General features: G+C 35.1%; 1 long non-coding RNA gene across 2 annotated transcripts in view; it reads left to right on the plus strand.

The window, feature by feature from the left end:
- The window catches only part of LOC105371657 (uncharacterized), a 453,818-nt gene that overhangs the window by 238,327 nt on the left and 188,610 nt on the right, over nucleotides 1-26,881 (plus strand). Inside the window, exon 4 of one of the 2 annotated variants that reach the window (XR_001738343.2) lies at nucleotides 1,736-2,547. The exons of the other annotated variant lie outside the window; for it this stretch is intronic. This is a non-coding gene — a long non-coding RNA (uncharacterized LOC105371657). Of the gene's footprint in view, nucleotides 1-1,735; nucleotides 2,548-26,881 lie in introns of those variants that run through there. 2 annotated transcript variants of the gene reach the window in all.

Below are 26,881 nucleotides of genomic sequence, written 5' to 3' on the forward strand. Positions count from 1 at the left end.
GTTATTTTAATTTCTGTATCTTAAGAAATTTGGAGTCTACTCTTTCTTAAGATCTTGGAGCAGAGGCAGTATTCTCTCTGCTTATTATTGCCTTCTATTGCTATCTTCTGTCTATTGTTGATGCCAAGCAATCATTCAGCTACTACTGATCATCTAGTCCTCTTCCATTGGAAGTGATCACATTTGTCTGTCACATCTTTCAAACATAAAACAAACTTATGGAATTTCTAACTTTCTTGAGGAATTCAGTATTTACTCTAATCTTCCTTGTAAAATACTTACCATTATTGATAGCTTCAATATAGACATTCAAAATCTGTTCACTATTTTTCCTCACTGCTCTGTGCCTTATCAACAGCAATAATTTGTTCTACATCCAGAGTTTGTCATTTTGTAGGATGAATCCATTATATATTGCCATTAACTGAAAATTATCTGTATTAATACTACAAACCTAAAATTGCTTTTTGGCTACTAAAGTCCATCTTTCACATATCCTTCTTTTTATTTTTTTATAGTCACTGTATTCCATTTTCATAGAATGATCAAGTCACATAGCCTCAACCTACTCTCAGTCCATTAGCTTTTTTAATTTTTTAATTTTATTTTATTTTTAATTATTATTATACTTTTTGGAGCTCCACTTGATCATCTTTGCCATCCTAGAATTCTTTTTTCCTCGTGTGATCAAATATTGTAGAAGCAAACTAATCAATTTCCATTTGTTTTCTGTTTAAATCTAGGTTATGTAGTTTGGTTACATTGCTTGGGGATTCAATGCTGACATAGCTATTATTCACTTCCAGTTTTCTCCCTGTTAAAATTGTAGCAGTTGTTACAAAACATTTTCACTTTTTACAAGCTCTGTTTCAGGTGATCTTAGCTTCTATTTTGCTGAAATGATTTAGACCTACAAAACTATGTTATCTCAAATTGCTTCTTCTCAGTTTCAGCATTTCTCTGTAACTTAATCCATTTCATCTTGAAACAAAGAAGAAAAAGTTCTCTTTCTTTTTTGTCTCAAGATGAAACATTTTTGTCTTTTTTTTTATAAGACTAATCCTCATAATAGAATGCACTGGGAAGTACACTGTAGTTAAAGTCAGATGCTTTGCTTTTAAGCCTGCCCTTTCTTTTATTTTGAATAAATCATATTGTTTGCTGGAACATTATATATTGGATTTAATAAATGCCATTAGTCTCATGTAATCCCCATATTTAGTATTTTTACTTTATTGCTTGAATTTGGAAAAAATGTGTTATAGTATAAATAAGTTTTATTTGAAAAGCTTTTAAATGAAGAGAGTTTGTATGGTTATAGAAATAATAAATTTAGGAATAACAGCATTAAGTCAATTATTATTTAGTTGCATTTATCTCTACTATGTCCTAGGAATCTCATTGATTTTAAAGTAATTTGCAAAACTTTTGTAACAGACAAAACTTGGACAATAGTTATTCCAAAATGCTGGTAAATCTTTAGCCTTGTACTATTCCATAGAATATTTGTATGTTATAAATATATTCAACAAATAATTACTTGAAAATTATAAATTTGGGGACTTAACGTACAATTTCTTTGTTGTTGACATGGTATTACTGTGAATGTGAACTCCATAATATATTTTAATTTCAGCTAAAGTAAATATATGTGTTTATTATTCATGTTGTTTTGACAACTCTGAATGACAATCACGTAATACCCTAATTCTTGGGTAACTTTCTTTTCTTACAGGCAAGTACACCCCACTCCCAAATTAAAAAGATTGACCTTAGCCAAACATAACACGGTAAGAGCAAGTGCAATGAAATGGTTTCAAAGAACACTTAAACAGAGTAATGTAAATATTATTCAAGGGGTGCCATGTTATTTTATTAACGAATATGATCATTGAATTGTTGTGAGCAGTAGCAAAGCCTTGAAGCAACTATCTTGCTTATTACTGCGTGAAGTTTCTTCAAAGTTAGAAGTAAACTCCTGACTAATTCTCCCGTTCCCTAATGTTGGTCATAAGTTGCTTCTTGAAATACTCCCAAATTTTCATTTTCTATCTTCTACTAAAACTAAACTTGCCATTTTTTTTGTCGCTATGTCTTCAATTCATTCTTAATATTTGTTTTGGCTTTTAGCTTCTGTTGTCCCCTGCCAATGCTTCTCCCAAAATCACACTCTACCACACATCCCTGCCTATAAGCTTTCATTTATGGTCTTAAATTATGTCCTGCTTCCTGGTCTATTCACTCAGATTTATCACTCTGAACTTCTCATCTCCAGTTATTCAAACTTAAATTTGTTGACAACTCTTTTTCCCTTTTTCAGTAGACAGGAGCATCACTATCATTATTACAAAATATTGATTTCAATGTGTACTCCAAAGTGCTGTTAACATGTTCTCTCTTTCCACAAAATCAATATTTTATAATTCACTACCCAAAGAAGCTGAGATTCCTTAGCATAGCAAAGCACATCTTAAAAGACCCAGCACACTTTGATGTAATTTTAGCAAAATGGTTTTCTCACTTTTAATAAAGACCTCCTTAAATTTCTGCTACCTATTTTTTTTTAAATTTTTACTTCAAATCATTTTCTTTCCTTTTTTTCAGATACATGCAATTTAATTTGTATGCTTTGTGTCAAAAATCAGGCATTTCAAAGCTTTGCAGATCAATACAAGTACTTCAGAAACATAACATTCATTGTCATTGACAATTGTTCAGCATAAGTCTTTCACTGCTTCATGAATTTTTAATATATTTTGCCTCATGTAAGAAAACAATTATTGACTTAATTAAAATAATCATTTGTTCAACTAGAATCTCAAGGTAGATGACTATTTAATAGTGAGGTATGTATTTCATATTTGATTTAATTCCCCAAAGAACCTTTGGTGACATTTTCTTCCCCTCTTTTTCTTTTTTTTTTCCTGTGGTTTAATTTAGTACCTTATGACTCAATTTTCTATCCTTTCTTGACATATGTTACACTTCTTTTTAAATTAATTGTTATATCACTCCCTGGATATTGTAGGTATTTTATAACAGATTATTCTCAATTTTTGCCTTCTAATTCTTATAGTATTGTAATTCATTTTCTTTATTCATATAGTATAATTGCCTAATACCATGTTGCTATTATTATTTTGATCAAATGTCAAGTCAAAATGAAATACCTACAAATACAGCTAACCAAAGAGGTAAAAGAGGAAAAAAAAAACTAAACTAAAAAATACTGCTGAAAGAAATTAGAGATGACAAAAAATGCACGAAAAAAAATTCCATCCTCATGTATTGGAAGAATCAATATGGAATAAATGGCCATACCACCCAAAGCAATTTACAGATCAGTGCTATTCCTGTGAAATCAACAGTGTCACTCTACACCGAATTATAAAAAGCTATTTCAAAATTTATATGGAACCAAAAAAGAGCCTGAACAGCCAAAGCAATCGTAAGCAAAATGAGCAAAGCTGCAGGTATCACACTACCTTACTTAAAACTATACTATAAACCCATACAAACAAAAATCGTTTGATTCTGGCACAAAAACAGATGCACAGACCAATTAGAATAGAATAGAAAAATCAGAAATAAAGCTCCACACCTACAACCATCTAATCTGTGACAAAGTCAATAAGAATAAACAATGAGGAAAGAACTCCCAATTCAATAAATGGTGCTGGAATAACTAGCTGTCATATGCAGAAGATTGAAGCTGGACACCTACTTTTTAACATAGGCAAAAATTAACTCAAAATGGATTAAAAATTTAAATGTAAGACCTCAAACTCTAAAAGTACTGGAAATCAACCTAGGAAATACTCTTCTCAACATCAGCCTTGGCAAGAAATTTGTGGCTAAGTCCCCCAAAGCAATTACAACAGAAACAAAAATAGACAAGTGGGACCTAACTAAACTAAGGAGCTTCTGCACAGCAGAAAATCTATCAACAGAGCAACCAGACGACCTACAGAATGGGAGAATATATTCACAAACTATGGATTTGACAAGGGCATAATATCCAGAATCTATAGGGAATTTTAAAACCTCAATAAGCAAAAACCAAATCACCTCATTAAAAAATGAGCAAAGGATGTGAACAGACACTTCTCCAAAGATGACATACAAATGGCCAACAAACATATGAAAAAAATCCCATCATCACTAATCATTAGAAAAATGTAAATCAAACTACAATGTGATATAATCTCACACCAATCAGAATGGCTATTATTAAAAAGTCAAAAACCACAGATGTTGGCAAGGTTCCAGAGAAAAAGGAATGTTTACATACTGTTGGTGGGGTGTAAATTAGTCCTGTCACTGTGGAAAACAGTCTGGAGTTTTCTCAGATTACTTAAAACAGAGCTACCATTGGACTCAGTAATCCCATTACTAGTTATACACCTAAAAGAAAATAAATTATTCCACCCAAAAGACACATGCATTTGTATGTTTATATTTGCACTATTCACAACAACAAAGGCACAGAACCAACCCAGGTGCCTATCAATTATATAATGAATAAAGAAAATGTTCGACATATATGCAATGGAATACTACACAGCAATAAAAAAGAATGAAATTATGTTCTTTGCAGCAATATGGATGGAGCTGGAGGCCATAATCCTAAGCAAATTAATCAGAAACAGAAAACCAAATACCATATATTCTTACCTATAAGTCAGAGCTAAGCATTGAGCACTCATTGACATAAATTTGGGAACAATAGGCACTGTGAACTACCAGAAGGTGGAGGGAGGGGGTGGGTTAAAAAACCTACCTATCAGGTACTATGCTCACTACCAAGAGATTTATATTCCAAACCTCTGCATCATGTAATATTCCATGTATCAAATCTGCCATGCAACCATTATATCTAAAATAAAAGTTGAAATTGAAAAAAGTCCACAGTTAAAAATAAAGTAAAATATAATTTGTTGCTCTTTTGGTTTGTTTGAGAAAGTTTCGATTTCTCTTTGACTTTTGAAGAATATTTTTTTTAATCACAGAATTTGAGTTTGGGGTATTTTTCTTTCAACACTTCAAATATTTCCCTCTATTTTGTTCACTTTGCATGGTTTCTGATGCGGAGATCAGTGTTAATCCTTTTCATTGTTCCATTATAGAGAAGGTATTTTTCCCTGCCTTTAAAAAATGTGTTGTTTTTGTGTCATGCATTTTACTACATGACCTCAATTTTTTAACAGATCTACAAAAAGTCATTAATTTTCAGTTGGTTTAGAGATTTCTTTGTTGAGGATGGGAGTGATGACTTTTAAGGACTCTACAAGTCAGATAAAACTCTGCCTATGTTATTCATTTTTAAAAAATTATTTGTGAAAAATAAGTGAATATTATTATGGAGAAATAATGCTATAGTAAATCATATTTGATTTACTATGGCTTCATTAAGACTTTCCTATAAACAGTCATTTAGCATTTCCTGAACATTTACATATTATTTTTCACTGTCCAGACCTCTTCCATATCAAGAAGGAAGATATACATAATAAAATTATTTTTATTTTATATGCAAATATACTGTCACATAAGCCTCATACATGTATTCATATCATGCCTTTATTAAGCCAGGAAAGGGAGTGATTTGACAAATATACTGATTCTGAAGAGGACTTCAGTATTTACAGATTATTAATGTGTCTCACTTTTAACATATATTTAAGTAGTACCAGAACACTCCACTGAAAGTTCTCTGAATACATGAAGTAAATGGCAATTCTATAGCAGTCTTCTTTTCATTAGCCCTATGTATCTATTTTTACAGATCACCAACATTGAAAGGGGCAGTATATGGTAGAAAGAAATTAACAGAGGTACATGATATCAAATATCTACATTATTATCTTAAATATCTCACTAGCTATACATTTAACTCTTTAGGACTATTGTATCATTTGTAATGTGGAAAATGATTTTTTACAGAGTATTCTGTAAATATGTAAAATTTTAAAAGCATAGACCAGTAGCTACAGTAATTCTACCACTCAGTGAGAAGATAAACACTTTTATTAGAGAACAATCTGGTCTGAAATGCACCCGAAAATTAAGGTACAGGGTTCAAGCATCTGTAAAAAGAAATTGCATATGGCACAATATTTATGCCACAAAATCTAACATGTTTTTTCATATGTGTAGAAGAAATATTTGTGCCAATTATATAATAAATTTGGAAGATCAAAAGACATAAATAAGTAAAGTTTTTTATGTTTATTTTATTTTATTTTTTGAGATGGAGTCTCACTCTGTCACCCAAGCTGGAGTGCAGTGGCACAGTCTTGGCTCCCTGCAACCTCCGCCTCCTGAGCTTAAGCGATTCTGGCGCCTCAGCCTCCCGAGTAGCAGGGATTACAGACGTGAGCCCCTGTGCCCACCCAAGTTTTTATGTTTATCTCTAACTTCAGACTTCAAACTATGCAAGACCACAGTAACCAAAATAGCATGGTACTCATACAAAAACAGGCACATAGACCAATGGAAGAGAATAGAGAACTCAGAAATTAATCCGCACATCTACAACCATCTGATCTTCAACAAACCTGACAAAGACAAGCAATGGGGAAAGGATTCTATATTTAATAAATGGTGCTGGGAAAACTGGTTACCCACATGCCGAAAACTGAAATTGGATCCCTTCTTTACACCATATGCAAAAAATTAAGTCAAGATGGATTAAAGACTTGACTGCAAAACCCAAAATTATAAAAACCCTAGAAGAAAATCTAGACAATGCCATACAGACATAAGCATGGACAAAGACTTTATGATGAAATCACCAAAAGCAATTGGAACAAAAGCAACAACTGACAAATGCGATCTAAACTAAAGAGCTTCTGCACAGCGAAAGAGCCTATCATCAGAGTGAATAGACATCTTATGGAATGGGACAGAATTTTTGCAATCTCTCCATCTGACAGTGGTCTAATATCCAGAATCTACAAGGAACTTAAACACATTTACAAGCAAAAAACAAAACCCCATCAAACAGTGGGCAAAGGATATGAACAGATGCTTCTCAAAAGAACACATTTATGCCACCAGCAAACATATATGAAACAAAGCTCAACATCACTGATCATCAGAGAAATGCAAATCAAAACCACAATGAGATACCATCTCATACCAGTCAGAATAGCGATTATTAAAAAGTCAGGAAACAATAGATGCTGGCGAGTCTGTGGAGGAATAGGAACACTTTTACACTGTTGTTGAGAATGTAAATTAGTTCAAGGATTGTGGAAGACAGGGTGGTAATCCTCAAAGATTTAGAAGCAGAATACCATTTGACCCAGTAATCCCATTACTGGGTATATACACAAAGGAATATAAATCATTCTATTATAAAGATACATGCATGCATATGTTCATTGCAGCACTATTCACAATAGCAAAGACATGGAATCAACCCAAATGACCATTAATGATAGATTGGATAAAGAAAATGCGGTACATATACACCAAGGAATATTATGCAGCCATAAAAAGGAATGAGATCATGTATTTTGCAGGAACCTGGATGAAGATGGAAGCCTTTATCCTCAGGAACTAATGCAGGAACAGAAAACCAAACACTGCATGTTCTCATTTATAAGTATGAGCTGAGTAATGAGAACACAAGGACACAGGGAGGGTAACAACAGACACTGGGGCCTGTTGGGGGAGGGCGGGGCTAGGAACAGCATTAGGGAAAAGAGCCAATGTATGCTGGGCTTAATACCTAGGTGATGGGTTGATAGGTGCAGCAAACCACCATGGCACACGTTTACCTATGTAACACAGCTGCACAACCTGCACATGTTCCCCGGAACTTAATAAAAAATAAATAAATTTAAAAAACAAGAAACATGTGAACACCAGTTGACTTAAAACAGCTATGTGTAAATAATGTAAAATTTAAAGCAAACATTAAAGGAAAATTCTACAAATAATATAACTAAAACAGTATAGATAAATCCAAATGGAAGTTTCAGAAATGCTTTAGCAACTCATATGAATGCAGGAAAGAGGAAACAAAAATAACAGAGAAGAAACAGAAAATAAAAAAGAAAATTTCAGATATAACATATCAATACAGTAATTAAAAGAAAGGCAACAGAACTAAGTAAAACAATTAAAGATGGATAACAAATAAACAACATGGCTGAACCAAATATTATTGATAAGAATTTCAGTTCAAATGTAATTGTAGAGGAAGGTGAAATTAAAATAATAGTAAAAGACATTCCATACAAATATTCTTGAAATAAAGAGAGATTGACTATCTTTGTATCAGAATAAGTAAATTTCAGAGCAAAAATATTACTGGGGTAGAGAATGGCATTATATAATGACAGTTAGCTGAATTCAGTTTGCCGAATTTCTCTATGGTGCTAGATATGTATGCACCAAACAACAGAGCTGCAGAAGCTATGAAAAAAAAAATACACAAATGTAATGGGAAATCTCAAACCCATTCTTAACAAGTGGTGGAAAAAGTAAACAGAAAATCAGTAAGGATACAACAAAAATTAAGATACCATTAACCAAATATATAGTTAATATTTATTGAACATTCTAACCCAACAACAGCAGAATATATAGTCTTTTTAAGGGACTATGCAATACATTTTGTTAGACCAAATACTGTTCCAAAAAACAAATCTCAATACATTTAAAAGAATAAAAATTATGCAGAGTGTGTTCCTTGACCACAATATACTTAAATTAGGAATCAGTAACAGAGATGTAATCAGGAGAATGTCCAGACATTAAGAAACTGAAAACACACTTCTAAGTATTCAATAGATCAAAGAGGAAGTCTCAAGGAAAATAAAAATACATTGAGATTAATGTGAATAAAAATTCAACATATCAAAATTTATAGGACTCAACTACAGCAGTGATAGAAGGGAAATGAGACTTTTCTTAAATGCTTATGTCAGGAAAAGCGTCAAACTAATTACCTAAGCTTCCATCTCCAACTAGTAAAAGAAGAACAAAATAAATCCAAAGTGAGCATAGAGAAGGAAATAATAAAGATCAGAGCAGATATCAATGGCATTGAAAACAGTAAAATAATAAAGAAGTCCAATAAAACAAAAAAAAAACTGATTCTTTTTAAAGATTAATAAAATTGTCAAACTTCTACCAAAACTTATAAAGAAAAAAAGAGAGAAGACGCAACTTGCAAGTATCAGGAATGACTTAGAAAATATCATTATAAACTCTTCAGACAACAAAAGGATAATCGTGGAATATTACACACAACTCTACACAAATAAATGTGTCTAATTAAATGAAATTGATCAGATGTTTGTAATGGACAAACTACCACAGTTTACCCAATATGAAATAGATAGTATTGACACACCTATTAAAATTGAGATAATTTAATTTATAATTATAGACTTCCTGAAAAAGAAATCTTCAGGCATAGATAGTTTCACTGGAAAATTCTACCCAAAGTATAGAAAAAAATTAACACCAATTCTTTAAAAAAAAAAAATTCACTTATGCACTCACTATGTGACATTGACTCATCCACTTCAACATGATTTCTGTTTTCTATTAGTCTTTACTCTTTTTCAGCAAGACATCTGAGAAGCTTAGTATTAACCTATAGAAGAATATCAGAGGCCCCGAAAGTACCACAATTATTCTGGGGGGGAGTACAGACTGCATTTGCTCCCAGAAACCTAATTCTACCTATGCTTTGAATGCAGGTCTTTAATTTCCTTGAACTTACCTTACAGAACAAGGTAATTTGATTTAAGACATTAACTATTTTAGATGTTTATGTCTTTTAAAATTAAATTTCAAAGGGATTCAGTCCCTCAATTTAATTTCTCCCTAGCAGTTCAACACTGATAAGGAATTTATATTCAAATTTGGGACTCCTCTGTAGAGTTGCTGGATCACTCAGTGTTTAATCAGAGAAGCAGAACCACTGTGAGAACTACAGAGTAACTGATTTGTTCTAGTAATTAGAACTTAACAAAGAAAGAAGAGAGGACATGTGGTCTGGAATGGAGAGTTAGAGTATCAGAAAAAAAGTCACTAACCAACTCTTAGTAGGTGGACAAATCAGAATAGGTGGACAAACACTGGAGTAGGTGGACAAATCAGAGCTTGCAGAGAAATCTGAGAAGCTAGACATGTCCACCTGCCAGAGTGGAATCACAGAAGAGAGGTGCTGAAGAAGTCTGTGGAAGGCTGATATCTCTGTGTCTGTTGGTGCATCTGGGGATCTTGGTCACTGGGAATAAGAGTTATAAATGAGGTGAATAGGAATAAGGACAAGCATGAACCTGACAGCATTGCTGAGTCTTTCTTTTTCTTTTTCTTTTTTTTTTTTTTTTTTTTTTTTGAGACAAAGTTTCACTCTTCATTCTCCTGCCTCAGCCTCCTGAGTAGCTGGGATTACAGGCACTCACCACCATACCCGGTTAATTTTTTTTTTTTGTATTTTTAGTAGAGACAGGGTTTCACCATGTTGGCCAGGCTGGTCTTGAACTCCTGACCTCAGGTGATCCGTTCGCCTTGGCCTACCAAAGTGCTGGGATTACAGGCGTGAGCTACCGCGCCCGGCCGAGTCTTTCTTTAACGCTGGAGTAGAGGGCAGGTGCCAACTCAATGGCTGCATCTGCATCTGTCTGTCCTTGCTTTTAATCACCAGAACCCCCAGAGGATACAGATGCTTCACTTTCACTTTCCAAATCTTATACATATTTCTCTTTTGGACAATTCTAACTTGAAATTATAGAAGGAAAGAAAATCACAGGAGAAAAGTAATTATGTCATCTTAGCCAAGTTGACACAGTCAAAATACTGGCAAACCGAATCCAGCAGCACATCAAAAAGCTTGTCCAGTATGATCAAGTGGGCTTCATCCCTGGGATGCAAGGCTGGTTCAACAAATGCAAATCAATAAACATAATCCAGTGTATAAACAGAACCAAAGACAAAAACCACATGATTTTCTCAGTAGATGCAGAAAAGGCCTTCGACAAATTTCAGCAGTGCTTCATGCTAAAAACTCTCAATAAACTAGGTATTGATGCGATGTGTCTCAAAATAATAAGAACTATTTAGGACAAATCCACAGCCAGTATCATACTGAATGGGCAAAAACTGGAAGCATTCCCTTTGAAAACTGACAGAAGACAGGGATGCCCTCTCTCACCACTCCTATTCAACATAGTGTTGGAAGTTCTGGCCAGGGCAATCAGGCAGGAGAAAGAAAGGGTATTCAATTAGGAAAAGAGGAAGTCAAAATTTCCCTGTTTGCAGATGACATGATTGTATATTTAGAAAACCCCATCGTCTCAGCCCAAAATCTCCTTAAGCTGATAAGCAACTTCAGCAAAGTCTCAGGATACAAAATCAATGTGCAAAAATCACAAGCATTCTTATACACCCATAACAGAAAAACAGAGAGCCAAATCATGAGTGAACTCCCATTCACAATTGCTTCAAAGAAGATAAAATACCTAGGAATCCAACCTCCAAGGGATGTGAAGGGCCTCTTCAAGGAGAACTACAAACCACTGCTCAATGAAATAAAAGAGGACACAAACAAATGGAAGAATATTCCATGCTCATGGGTAGGAGGAATCAATATCATGAAAATGGCCATACTGCCCAAGGTAATTTATAGATTCAATGCAATCCCCATCAAGCTACCAATGACTTTCTTCATAGAATTGGAAAAAACTACTTTAAAGTTCATATGGAACCAAAAAAGAGCCCGCATGGCCAAGTCAATCCTAAGCCAAAAGAACAAAGCTGGAGGCATCACACTACCTGACTTCAAACTATACTACAAGGCTACAGCAACCAAAACAGCGTGGTACTGGTACCAAAGCAGAGATATAGACCAATGGAACAGAACAGAGCTCTCAGAAATAATACCACACATCTATAACCATCTGATCTTTGACAAACCTGAGAAAAACAAGCAATGGGGAAAGGATTCCCTATTTAATAAATGGTGCTGGGAAAACTGGCTAGCCATTTGTAGAAAGCTGAAACTGGATCCCTGCCTTACACCTTATACAAAAATTAATTCAAGATGGATTAAAGACTTAAATGTTAGACCTAAAACCATAAAAACCCTAGAAGAACATCTAGGCAATACCATTCAGGGCATAGGCATGGGTAAGGACTTCATGACTAAAACACAAAAAGCAATGGCAACAAAAGCCAAAATTGACAAATGGGATCTAATTAAACTAAAGAGCTTCCGTGCAGCAAAAGAAACTACCATCAGAGTGAACAGGCAACCTACAGAATGGGAGAAAATTTTTGCAATCTACTCATCTGAGAAAGGGCTAATGTCCTATTTATTAATGTTATTACACCCCAGATGTTGAGTTTGTTGTTACATAAAGATAAAATTAATGCTAAATGATAGAATATTATTTCTCTAGGGAAGATACCATCTCAATAGCTCCTTTTATTGGATAATAGGTAACTTAATTGATTGAAATTTTAGGACAATATTGATTGTTCTTACATATTAGTAATACTACATGCTAGGTGGCTATAAGGAGAACCTCTAAAATATACCACTTTTAACACAAGATAATTTATTTCACTTCCAATATAAGAGATCGAGCAGATGATTAATGTCTGAAACTCAAAGCATGTAGTTCCCAGTGTTCATCCCTTCTCTACTTAGTGTTTTGTCTTAATATATGATCAAATATGTCTCACTTCTGAATCTCAGCTTGTGTATGGAGTTGTCAAACAGGAGAAGAAAGAGAAGGAAGAGTACGAACCTTTCAACAATAAAGACAAAACCAAAAGTTAGTCCCATCTTTGCTCCTATCTCATTCATCCAAACCTAATCACATGGTCACATTTCTGGAAGAGATATTACCAGGACTGTCATTTCTTCAGCTTATTATTATCATTATTATTAATTGTATAAGTAGATGATGGCTACTGTGCAGGAGATAGCAATTTGTACTGTAAAGCCTAGCCTGGATTGCTGGCTACACCTGTCTTAGAGTGTAAAGGGCCACATTTTTTTTTGTACCCATTCTGTAGGTGATATGGAAACTGGTTCAGAGCTATTGCCATTCCTTCTGATGGATGGTCAAGAAACACATCTCTTCCCATCCAACTGTTGCTCTTTTTTTTACCTAACAGTGTGTGAGGCAAGGTTATGATGCTTTACTTACAGTCTGTTACACTACCAACTCTACTTAGTTTACTGATTGGTGTTAACATTTAGATTTGGGAGCAGTTAATTTTGCTTATTTCAATTTTAAGCTGTGTTCCTCGTTCCAGTCTAACGATAAAAAGATAACTATATGCAATGCGTTAACTTTTATGTCTATTTTATTAATTTATTCAGAAGCTAGGAAGAAGAGACATATAATTAAATGCCACTCCAACTCTAACACATATTAATTTATTTGATCTTAAAAACATTACAGTGAGATAGGTAAGTCAGTATTGCTATTTTCAAGTAAAAATAAAGAAATTAACATCAGGAGAGTGTAGTCCATCTGCCAAAGTTGTCTGAGCCGGTTAATAGATGCAAGAATAGACGCTACTCTCTTAATCTCTTTGGAGATGAAATCCCATGAGTAATTAACAAAATTTTAATACACTTCATTTAATAGTTAGATGAACAAATTTGCTGTTTTGTAGATCCCAAAGATGGACGGAGCAGAATGGCCATTATTAAAAAGTAAACAAAAATAATAAATAACAAATGTTGTTGAGGAAATGGAAAAAGCGGAAAGCTTATACACTGTTGGCGCAGCCTCTATGGAAGACAGTATGAAATTTTTTCAAAGAACTAAAAATAAAACTACCATTTGACCCAGCAATCTGACTACTGGATATCTATCCAAAGGAAATAAATCATTATATGAAAAATACATCTGCATTTGTATGTTTATTGCAGCACTATTCAGAGTATCAAAGTCATGGAATCAACCTAAGTGACTATCGACAAATAATTGGATAAAGAATATGTGGTATATATATACCATGGAATACTCTGCAACCATAAAAATTAATAAAATCATGTCTTCTGCAGCAACATAGATGGAGCTGGGGGCTATTATGCTAAGCAAAATAAATCAGAAATTGAAAATCAAATACTGTGTTCTCACTTATAAGTGGGAGCTAAACAATGAGTGTATATGGACATAAAGATGACAACAATAGACATGTGTGACTCCAAAAGGAGAGGACTGGGAGCGTGGTGAGTATTGAAAAATTAACTCCTGGGTACAATATTCACTATCTGAGTTACTGGTACACTAGAATCCCAAACCTCACTATTAAGCAATTTATCTATGTAAAAAAAAAATACACATGTACCCTGTTAATCTGTAATTAAAAAAAGAATAAAGCCTAATGTAGAGCATATTCTAGACTTTACATAGTATCAAAACACGCACACTCTGCGAAATGCTTACACAGTTTTACTTAATTTCTTATTTACTCAAAAAATATAGATAAGAAATATATATGAAAGCATAACAACTTCTTTATGAGACAAAATAACAATGATTCGTGCTTCTGCAAGGAAAGAATATGACTTTGGAGTTAGATGCTCTTGGCTTTAACCCTTAGATCATATATTTTTATATATCAACTTTGGATAAGCCACTGAAACTCTCTAAACTTCTGTTTTCTATTCCAAGTGGGTGTGATGATCTTGATTCATAAGATTATCAGGAGGATTAAGTAAGGGATTACTTGAAAGCACCTATTCCACTACTTTACATATCACAATACTGAATATAGTTTAGTTTCATTCTAATCATATACATTCAAAGCAAAGTTGAATAGAATTAGGTTAAAACTTGTTCGCTTTATTTTACAATATCAAATCCTTATATTTAAGTAAAAAAATGTATGTGCATAATTTATTTGTTTCTAATCACTTCCCAATAGTGGTTCAGTAAGTTTTTGATGAAGAAGAACTTGACTGTCTTAAATCAAAACACTTAAAAATATAGGTTTAATAATGTAAATAACCTGAAGACATTGCTAAATTAATTAGAAAAAATTAGGAATATATGATTTGAGGTTCATATAAAAGAGAAGACACATCATTTTCATAACATTTCTCTTGAAGTTGCTTTTAAAAATAGATTGCATATCTAATATAGTTTACTAATTCTTACACTGTTATCTTTAATTTGACAAAGCTAATGTTACTGTTTTGGTGAGCTAACATTAAATAGTAAGAGTCTGGTGATGTCTGAACTTCCTTCAAGGGTTAAAATAATCCATATTTTCTTGTAAGTTGCTGCAAAGATTATTAAGAAAAGGTTTTCTGGGTGTTTTTGTCCCCATCTTTTTTTTTTTCAAACCACAGCAATTAAAAAAAAAAACATTCAATACTATGCACAAATCATTCCTATTTGATGTTGAAAGAGATGATCCCATTAAGATGATTATCACTTTCAATAACATTTTATTTGACAGTCTATGATAGATTTCCTATGAGTGGCTAATCTTCAATTCCTTCCATGTCTAACTTCTAAGATATTGAAGTTCCATTGTTTCCTTCAAAATGAATCAAAGTATTTTATATTATTCTTTACTCATCAGGGTACAATAGCAAACATCTTTTATGCTGTGCAAAAAAATCTGTGCTTTAATTTATTATAAAAAAAGTCTGTAGTGAAATGTACGGGAGAAGAATGTATCCATAAGATCCAGATTTCTGGGGGAAAAAAAGCTTTTAGAGAAATTTCTGTTGGTTGAAGGAAGATTAACTCTAGGTGGAAGAACAGGTAAAAGGAGATCAGCAATGTTATGGTAATGACAGGAGGAAACGGGGGTTGGGGAAGAGGGACAGATTAAAGAACACAGAGGCAGAAAACGTAGTTAAGTAAAATGCCTGGCTAAGTAAGAACATCTCTTTGGTAGAAGGGAACTTATCTTGTGACTTCTTAGAGTTCATAACTTTAGAGAAATGAAGAGAATAAAAAATTCAGAAATTAAAATGAAATTATAATATAAGGTGGTGCCAAACTTAATCATCATAAATCATAATGTCATTTGGTACCTTCTAAGGATATGCAATGATATATGACTATAAATCGTCAATTTATAATTTAAAATACTTTTTTTAGAAAGAAACATAATGTTTTAGAGAGTTGATGAATGAAACTGATAGTATAATAATTTAGTAAGCACAGCCTAAGATTAGCTTATTCCATTTGGATCTCCATATGTATTAGTCCATTTTCATGCTGCTGAAAAAGACATACCCAAGACTGGGAAGAAGAAGAGGTTTAATGGACTTACAGTTCCACATGGCAGGGGAGGCCTCACAATCATGATGGAGGACAAGGAGGAGCAAGTCACATCTTACATAGATGGCAGCAGACAAACAAACAGCTTGTGCAGGGAAACTCCCATTTTTAAAACCATCAGATCTCATGAGACTCATTCACTATCAGAAGAAAAGTGTGGGAAAGCCCTGTCCCTATAATTTAATCACCTCCCACCAGGTTCCTTGCACAACACATGGGAATTGTGGGAGTTACAATTCAAGATGAGATTTGGGTGGGGACACAGCCTATCATTCAGCCCCTGGCCCCTCCAAATCTCATGTCCTCACATTCCAAAACCAAATATGCCTTCCCAACAGTCTCCCAAGTCTTAACTCATTTTAGCATTAACTCAAATTTCCACAGTCCAATGTCTCATCTGAGACTAGGCAAGCCCCTATCACCTATGAATCTGTAAAATCAAAAGCAAGTTAATCACTTCCTAGATACAATGGGGGTACAGGCATTGAGTAAATCCAGCTGTTCCAAATGGGAGAAATTGGCCAAAACAAAGGGGTTACAGGCCCCATGAAAGCCCAAAATCCAGCAGAACGGTCAAATCTTAAAGCTCCAAAATGATCTCCTTTGACTCCATGTTTCTTATCCAGGTCATGCTGACACAAGAGGTGGGTTTCCATGGTCTTGAGCAGCTCTGTTCCTGTGGCTTTGCATGAGTACAGCCTCCTCCTGGCTGCTTTCATGGGATGGTGTTGAGTGTCTGCAGCTTTTCCAGGTGCACAGTGCAGCTTGTAGGTGGACCTACAATTCTGGGGTCTGGAGAATGATGGCCCCCTTCTCACTACTCCACTAGGCAGTGCACCAGTAGGGACTCTGTGTGGGGGCTCCAACCCCACATTTTCCTTCTGCATTGGTCTAGCAGAGATTCTCCATGAGGGCCCCACCCCTACACCAAACTTCTGCCCAGGCATCCAGGCGTTTCCATACATATTCTGTAATCTAGGAGGAAGTTCCCAAACCCCAATTATTGACTTCTGTGTGCTCACAGGCTCAACACCACATGAAAGCTGCCAAGGTTTGGGGCTTGCACCCTCTGAAGCCAGTACCTGAGCTCTACATTGGCCTCTTTAATCCACAACTGGAGCAGCTGGGATGCAAGGCACCAAGTCCCTACAATGCACACAGCTGAGGAGGGACCCTGGGCCTGGCACATGAAACTTTTTTTTTTCTCCTAGGCCTCAGGGCCTGTGATGGGAGGGGCTGCTGCAAAAGACTCTGACATGCTCTGGAAAAATTTTCCCCATTCTCTTGGGGATTAACATTCAGTTCTTGTTTACTTATGCAAATTTCTGCAGCCAGCGTGAATTTCTCCTCAGAAAATGGGTTTTTCTGTTCTTTCACATTATCAGGCTGCAAATTTTTCAAACATTTTTGCTCTCTTTCCCTTTTAAAACTGAATGCCTTTAACAGCACTCAAGTCAACTTTTGAATATTTTGCTGCATAGAAATTTCTCCCACCAGATATGCTAAATCATCTCTCTCAATTTCAAAGTTCCACATATCTCTAGGGCAGGGGCAAAATGCTGCCAATCTCTTTGCTAAAACATAACAAGTGTCACATTTGCTCCAGTTCCCAAAAAGCTCCTTATTTCCATCTGGGACCACCTCAGCCTGGACTTTATTGTTCATATTACTATCAGCATTTTGGGCAAAGCTATTCAACAAGTCTCTAGGAAGTTTCAAACTTTCCCACATTTTCCTGTCGTCTTCTGACCCCTCCAAACTTTCAGCCTCTGCCTGTTACCCAGTTCCAGGTATCTTTTCAGCAACACCCCACTCTTTAGGTACCAATTTACTGTATTAGTTCGTTTTCATGCTGCTGATGAAAATGTACCTGAGACTGGGAAGAAAAAGAGGTTTAATGAACTAAAGCTCCGCATGGCTGGGGAGGCCTCACAATCATGACATAAGGCAAGGAGGATCAAGTTACGTCTTACGTGGAAGGCAGCAGGGAAAAAAAAAGAGCTTGTGCAAGGAAACTCCCATTTTTTAAACTATCAGATCTCATGAGACTCATTCACTATTACGAGAACAGCACAGGAAAGACCCATCACCATAATTCAATCACCCATCACCAGATTCCTCCTGTGATATGTGAAATTGTGCAAGTTACAATTGAAGATGAGATTTGGGTAGGGACATAGCCAAACGATACCACCATATCTTTTTCTTTCTTTCTTATTTATTGATTGATTTATTTTTAAGACCGGGTCTTTCTCTGTCATCCAGACTGGCGGGATCACAGCTCACTGCAGCCTTGGCCTCCCAGGCTCAAGGAGTCCTCCCACCTCAGCTTTCCTGAGTAGCTGGGACTACAGGTTTGCACCATGATGCCTGGCTACTTTTTGTATTTTTTGTAGAGAAGGGGTTTTGCCATGTTTCCCAGGCTAGTCTTAAACTCTTGGGCTCAAGTAATCTGCCTATCTTGGCCTCCCAAAGTGCTGGGATGAAAGGTGTGAGCCACCGTGCCCAGCCTCCATATCTTCTTGATTATCTTCCTCAGTTATCGTGGCCATTAAATGAAGTAACCTGAATCTCTGACTCAGAATTTGGATAGCTGAATCCAATATATATAAATATGTATATATATATATATATTTTTTTTAATTAAAAGTATTCACATTGCTCTCACTAAAATATCAGCCAAAGCAAGAAGGGTTTTGCACTGTAAATAAATATTTTAAATGCCTAATATTTCATTTTTAACTAATGCTTTAATATTTTCTATTTCCAAGTGTTTTATCATATACAATATATTAATATAATAGCACATGCATTTAACTTAAAATCAGTACTACTGGAAGTTTGCCATGAAAATTTTAAGTTGAAACTATAGTCATATTGAAGTCAACTAAGCAAACAAAGTTCCTATGTTGTGTTTAAAGATTCAAAAAGAGAGAAGTTGATAGAAAACAAGAATATATATGTCACATTAAAGGTATATTCAGGTGAATAATCAGCATGGAAAGATTTGATGGGAGTAGTTCAGTAAAAATATTGTGACACTTGAATCTATTAGAAATTAGAAATAAAATATAATTAAACACATTTGATATACAAATGTGACTGTATTTAGATCAAATAGAATGATATAAATGTACCCTGATTTAATGGGAAACAAAGATATCAGGAAAAAGAACAAAAGGAAAAATCTAGAAATACATTTCTAAGTACATGTAAGTATATCACTGTTAAACAGTATTTATAACAGCAGACATTGATCCTTGGGGAAACAATTCAGTTCAGCCTTTGTTGAAAAAATGAAATTGGGTGTGTGGAAACAAAGCAGAATATTACGAAATGGAACAAATTACGTATTTCAAAAGAACAGCATATTCAACTTGAGAAATAAATCAAATGCTTCTGTGGCTGAAAGCCTTTCAAAAGAATTCTTAAATAATTAATACTGGTATATTGACAGGAAAGCCTATGAAAGTTACCTGTCTTTCGAGAGTTATGTACCCATTGCTCTCATTGGAATGAGAAATACTGCTCAGGTAATGTTTCTAATATGCTGAAATGCTTGTGCAATACAAAAATGAATTCATTTTATCTCAGGAAAGCCATTCATTCATTCATGATCCATTAATTTATCCATTCATTTATTTGTGCATTTTTGAACATCTATTAAGTGTCTGGCACTGTGTTAAGCACTTTGGAAGGGAAAGATGAAGAGATGATGCCCTCCTTCTGAGAATAGTGGCATTAATTATGAGGCTGGCAAACACACTTGAATAAAATGTAAACATTGCTTAGACACAGTAAATAGTTTTACTTTTAGGCTTTATATAAATGGTACAGATTATGCAAAGCCCTTACTAATTTTCGATTTATACACTAAGAATGAGTAATACAAATTTTATTGAGTATTATAATTTATTCTACAACTTAAGAATATTAATCTTATGGTCAGAATGCTAAAAATTTATTATTTTAGCAGTTTTGAAATATATAATAATATACATTATTAAATGATAATTTAGTGAGGTGAGGAATTTGTTGATTAGCATGATTGAATCTTCTTACAACATATACATAGATCAAAGCATCACATGCACACATAAATATATACAATTATTGTCACCTACGAATATACATATATTTTTTTTTTTTTTTTTTTTTTGAGACAGAGTCTCTCTTTGTCACCCAGGCTGGAGTGCAGTGGTGCGATCTCGGCTCACTGCAAGCTCTGCCTCCTGGGTTCACACCATTCTCCTGCCTCAGCCTCCCTAGTAGCTGGGACTACAGGCGCCTGCCACCTCCCTAGATTAATTTTTTGTACCTTTAGTAGAGACAGGGTTTCACCGTGTCAGCCAGGATGGTCTCGATCTCCTGACCTCCTGATCCGCTCATCTCAGCCTCCCAAAGTGCTGGGATTACAGGCGTGAGCCACCGCGCTCGGCCTTTTTTATTTTCTTTTTAAAGGCAGGGTCTTACTCTGTTGCCCAGGCTGGAGTGCAGGGGATGATCATAGCTTACTGTAGCCTGGTACTCCTGGGCTAAAGAGACCCTCCTACATCAATCTCCTTTGTAGCTGGACATGTGCCACCACACCCAGCTAGTCGACACATGCTACCATGCACAGCTAATTAAAACAATTTTTTTTTTTTTTTGAGGAGACAATATCTCACTTTCTTGTCCTGGCTGTTCTTGAACTCTTGGCCTCAAACAATCCTCCTGCCTTGGCCTCCCAAAGTTCTGGGATTACTAGTGTGAGCCACCTAAGCCTGGCCAAATAAATTTTTAATAATAAAAGACATCCCAATAAACATAATACTTAATCCTAAAAAAATAAAATAAATGTTTTGCAAAAATTTAAAAGAGTATAAAGTTTAAAGTTTAATGATAAGATGCAGAAAATAAACATGAAAATTGAGTGTACCCATCACATTTAAATTGCATGTCCTCTCTTGAGAGCCAGTTATCCAGGTATGTTTTTTTAGCTTTACTAGGGGGAAGAACTTTTCAGGGTTCCATATTCAGTGACTACATTTTGCCTATCCATGCTATTAGATTAGACTGCACTATGGCAAGTTTTTGCAGTGACCCTGTTATTTTCCTGAATAAAGGCTGAATGATGGAGGAACAACACAAAGACTGCACTGAAAATGGTCAATTCGCAGTGAAATTTTTTAAAAGAGGATAAAAACATATAAACAACAAATGAAAATGTGTATCACATAGTGCATTGCTCCAGTTAAAGGATATATTTGTTTTACTGTATTATAATACTTACATTAAATATGACAATTGCTTTATATAAATACATACTACTAAAATATTTAAAGCAAATATATTAAAAATATATTGGGTTTTGGTTTAATTTACTCAGGGAATTTCCAGGAGGCTTGAAGAATATACCATTAAATTCATGCCTATAGCACAAACACACACGTACAAACATAAATACAGGCATGTTCATAATGTTGACATAGAAAGAATTTCGAATTGACAAGAGTAAAGTTTATCCTCATTTCCTTGAGAAAAACCAGTGTGCAAATTTGATTTATTGTGCCCAACATATGAATTGCAATTTATCTTCCCAAGCTTATGTAAACGTTCATTCACTATGACTCAGCAACATTTTTTACTTTTAATGAATAAATTAAAGCTGTTGAAATTAAAGTAAAACTTGTTTTAAAAAATTCAGATATGTATATATATGTGTGTGTGTGTGTGTGTGTGTGTGTGTATAGTTGTGTGTTTGCAGTTGTTTCAAGCAAAATATTGAAATGCAGAAGCAAAGACCACAACTGTACTGTTCTCTTCAAATAAAATTCTGAGGAGGCACACTTTTGGAGACAAAAAGTAATTTAATGGTTATATGAAGCTTGTGATGGAACAGATAAGTCCTGCTTTTGCAACTTTATTGCACAGACTTTGCAATTCCCATTTTGTTTTGGCCCTAGCTTTATCCTTCTGTCTTCTTTAACTACAGACTTAGTCTGTGACAGTCTAACTAAGTGGAAATCTTAGTGTACATACACATACTCATACATATGCACAGTATTCTTATAAAATGAGCAACTTACGTGTGGTTGGATTTTTTTTATTTGCAAATATAGCTTAGCAATAAATTACATATAAATTTACCTTATATTAAATTTAAAAATCACAAGCTGTTTCTTGATTTAATTATGGACATTTATGTCAGTGCTTTTGAACTTTTGCTGCAAACTAAAATTACTTAGGGAACTTTTTTTTTGCACCTTTGTATTTATGTATTTATTTTTTATTATACTTTAAGTTCTAGGGTCCATGTGCACAACGTGCAGGTTTGTTACATATGTATACATGGGCCATATTGGTTTGCTGTACCCATTAACTTGTCATTTACATTAGATATTTCTCCTAATGCTGTCCCTTCCCCATCCCCCCACCCGATGACAGGCTCTGGTGTGTGATGTTCCCCTTCCTGTGTCCAAGTGTTCTCATTGTCCAATTCCCACCTATGAGTAAGAACATTTGGTATTTGGTTTTCTGTCCTTGCAATAGTTTGCTCAGAATGACGGTTTCCAGTTTTATCCATGTCCCTACAAAGAACATGAATTTGTCCTTTTTTATGGCTGAATAGTATTCCATGGTGTATATATGCCCCATTTTTTTAATCCAGTCTATCATTGATGAACATTTGGGTTGGTTCCAAGTCTTTGCTATTGTGAATAGTGCTGCAATAAACACATGTGTTCATGTGTCTTTATAATAGCATGATTTATAATCCTTTGGGTATATACCCAGTAAGGGGATGGCTGGGTCAAATGGTATTTCTAGTTCTAAATCCTTGAGGAGTCGCCACACTGTCTTCCACAATGGTTGAACTAGTTTACAGTCCCACCAAGAGTGTAAAAGTGTTCCTATTTCTCCACATCCTCACTAGCACCTGTTGTTTCCTGACTTTTTAATGATCGCCATTCCAGCTGGTGTGAGATGGTATCTCACTGTGGTTTTGATTTGCATTTCTCTGATGATTAGTGATGATGAGCATTTTTTCATGTGTCTGTTGGCTGCATAAATCTCTTCTTTTGAAAAGTGTTTGTTCATATCCTTTGCTGACTTTTTGATGGGGTTGTTTGATTTTCATCTTGTAAATTTCCTTAAGTTCTTTGTAGATTCTGGATATTGGCCGTTTGTCAGATGGGTAGATTGCAAAAATTTTCTCCCATTCTGTAGGTTGCCTGTTCATTCTGATGGTAGTTTCTTTTGCTGTGCAGAAGCTCTTTAGTTTAATTAGATACCATTTGTCAATTTTGGCTTTTGTTGCCATTGCTTTTGGTGTTTTAGTCATGAAGTCCTTAAACATGCCTATGCCCTGAATGGTATTGCCTAGGTGTTCTTCTAGGGTTTTTATGGTTTTAGGTCTAACATTTAAGTCTTTAATCCACCTTGAATTAATTTTTGTATAAGGTGTAAGGAAGGGATCCAGTTTCAGCTTTCTACAAATGGCTAGCCAGTTTTCCCAGCACCATTTATTAAATAGGGAATCCTTTCCCCATTGCTTGTTTTTCTCAAGTTTGTCAAAGAGCAGATGGTTGTAGATGTGTGGTATTATTTCTGAGAGCTCTGTTCTGTTCCATTGGTCTATATCTCTGTTTTGGTACCAGTACCATGCTGTTTTGGTTGCTGTAGCCTTGTAGTATAGTTTGAAGTCAGGTAGCGTGATGCCTCCAGCTTTGTTCTTTTGGCTTAGGATTGTCTTGGCCATGCGGGCTCTTTTTTGGTTCCATATGAACTTTAAAGTAGTTTTTTCCAATTATATGAAAAAAGTCATTGGTAGCTTGATGGGGATTGCATTGAATCTATAAATTACCTTGGTCAATATGGTCATTTGCATGATATTGATTCTTCCTATCCATGAGCATGGAATATTCTTCCATTTGTTTGTGTCCTCTTTTATTTCATTGAGCAGTGGTTTGTAGTTCTTCTTGAAGAGGTCCTTCACATCCCTTGGAAGTTGGATTCCTAGGAATTTTAGTTTCTTTGAAGCAATTGTGAATGGGAGTTCACTCATGATTTGGCTCTCTGTTTGTTATTGGTGTATAAGAATGCTTGTGATTTTTGCACATTGATTTTGTATCCTGAGACTTTGCTGAAGTTGCTTATCAGCTTAAGGAGATTTTGGGCTGAGATGATGGTGTTTTCTCAATATACAATCATGTCATCTGCAAACAGGGAAATTTTGACTTCTTCTTTTCCCTATTGAATACCCTTTATTTCTTTCTCCTACCTGATTGCCCTGGCCAGAACTTCCAACACTATGTTGAATAGGAGTGGTGAGAGAGGGCATCCCTGTCTTGTGCCAGTTTTCAAAGGGAATGCATCCAGTTTTTTACCCATTCAGTGTGATACTGACTGTAGTTTTGGCATAAATAGCTCTTATTATTTTGAGATATGTTCCAGCAATACCTAGTTTATTGAGAGTTTTTAGCATGAAGGGCTGTTGAATTTTGTTGAAGGCCTTTTCTGCATCTATTGAGATAATCATGTGGCTTTTGTCTTTGGTCCTGTTTATATGATGGATAACATTTATTGATTTGTGTATGTTGAACTAGCCTTGCATCCCAGGGATGAAGCCAACTTGATTATGGTGGATTAGCTTTTTAATGTGCTGCTGGGTTCAGTTTGCCAGTATTTTATTGAGGATTTTTGCATTGATGTTCATCAGAGACATTGGTCTAAAATTCTCTTTTTTTGTTGTGTCTCTGCCAGGCTTTGGTATCAGGATGATGCTGGCCTCATAAAATGAGTTAGGGTGGATTCCCTCTTTATCTATTGATTGGAATAGTTTCAGAAGGAATGGTACCAGCTCCACCTTGTACCTCTGGTAGAATTTGGCTGCGAATCCATCTGGTTCTGGACTTTTTTTGGTTGGTAGGCTATTAATTATTGCCTCAATTTCAGAGCCTGTTATTGGTCTATTCAAGGATTCAACTTCTTCCTGGTTTAGTCTTGGGACGGTGTATGTGTTCAGGAATTTATTGCTTTCTTCTAGATATTCTAGTTTATTTGTGTAGAGGTGTTTATAGTATTCTCTGATGGTAGCTTGTATTTCTGTGGGATCGGTGGTGATAATCCCTTTATCATTTTTTATTGCATCTATTTGATTCTTCTCTCTTTTCATCTTTATTAGTCTTGCTAGTGGCCTATCAATGTCATTGATCTTTACAAAAAACCAGCTCCTGAATTCATTAATTTTTTGAAGGGTTTTTGTGTCTCTATCTCCTTTAGTTCTGCTCTGATCTTAGTTATTTCTTGCCTTCTGCTAGCTTTTGAATTTGTTTGCTCTTGCTTTTCTAGTTCTTTTAATTGTTATATTAGGGTTATCAGTTTTAGATCTTTCCTGCTTTCTCTTGTGGGCATTTAGCACTATAAATTTCCCTCTAGACACTGCTTTAAATGTGTCCTAGAGATTCTGGTACATTGTGTCTTTGTTCTCATTGGTTTCAAAGAGCATCTTTATTGCTGCCTTCATTTCGTTATGTACCCAGTAGTCATTCAGGAGCAGGGTGTTCTGTTTCCATTTAGTTGTGCAGTTTTGATTGAGTTTCTTAATCCTGAGTTCTAATTTGATTGCGCTGTGGTCTGAGAGACAGTTTGTTGTGATTTCTGTTCTTTTTCATTTGCTGAGGAGTGCTTTACTTCCAACTATGTGGTCAATTTTGTAATAAGTGTGATGTGGTGCTGAGGAGAATGTATATTCTGTTGCTTTGGTGTGCAGAGTTCTGTAGATGTCTATTAGGTCTGCTTGGTGCGGAGCTGAGTTTTCATCCTAGATCTCCTTGTTAAACTTCTGTCTCATTGATCTAATATTGACAGTGGGTTGTTAAAGTCTCCCACTATTGTTGTGTGGGAGTCTAAGTCTCTTTTTTAGTCTATAAGGACTTACTTTATGAATCTGGGTGTTTCTGTATTGGGTGCATATATATTTAGGATAGTTAGCTCTTCTTGTTGAATTGATCCCTTTACCATTATGTAATGGCCTTCTTTGTCTCTTTTGATCTTTGTTGGTTTAAAGTCTGTTTTATCAGAGACTTGGATAGCAAACCCTGCTTTTTTTTGCTTTCCATTTGCTTGGTAGATCTTCCTCCATCCCTTTATTTTGAGCCTATGTGTGTCTCTGTATGTGAGATGGGTCTTGACTCTATCCAATTTGCCAGCTTGTGTCTTTTAACTGGGACATTTATCCCATTTACATTTAAGGTTAATATTGTTATGTGTGAATTTGATCCTGTCATTATGATGTTAGCTGGTTATTTTGCCCGTTAGTTGATGCAGTTTCTTCCTAGCATCAGTGGTCTTTAAAATTTGGCATGTTTTTGCAGTGGCTGGTACTGGTTGTTCCTTTCCGTGTTTAGTGCTTCCTTCAGGAGCTCTTGTAGGGCAGGTCTGGAGGTGACAAAATCGCTCAGCATTTGCTTGTCTGTAAAGGATTTTATTTCTCCTTCACTTATGAAGCTTAGTTTGGCTGGATATGAAATTCTGGGTTGAAAATTCTTTCTTTAAAAATGTTGAATATTGGCCCCCGCTCTCTTCTGGCTTGTAGAGTTTCTGCCGAGAGA

This window comes from Homo sapiens, chromosome 1 (genome assembly GCF_000001405.40).
Source record: "Homo sapiens chromosome 1, GRCh38.p14 Primary Assembly".
Classification (NCBI taxonomy): Eukaryota; Metazoa; Chordata; class Mammalia; order Primates; family Hominidae; genus Homo; species Homo sapiens.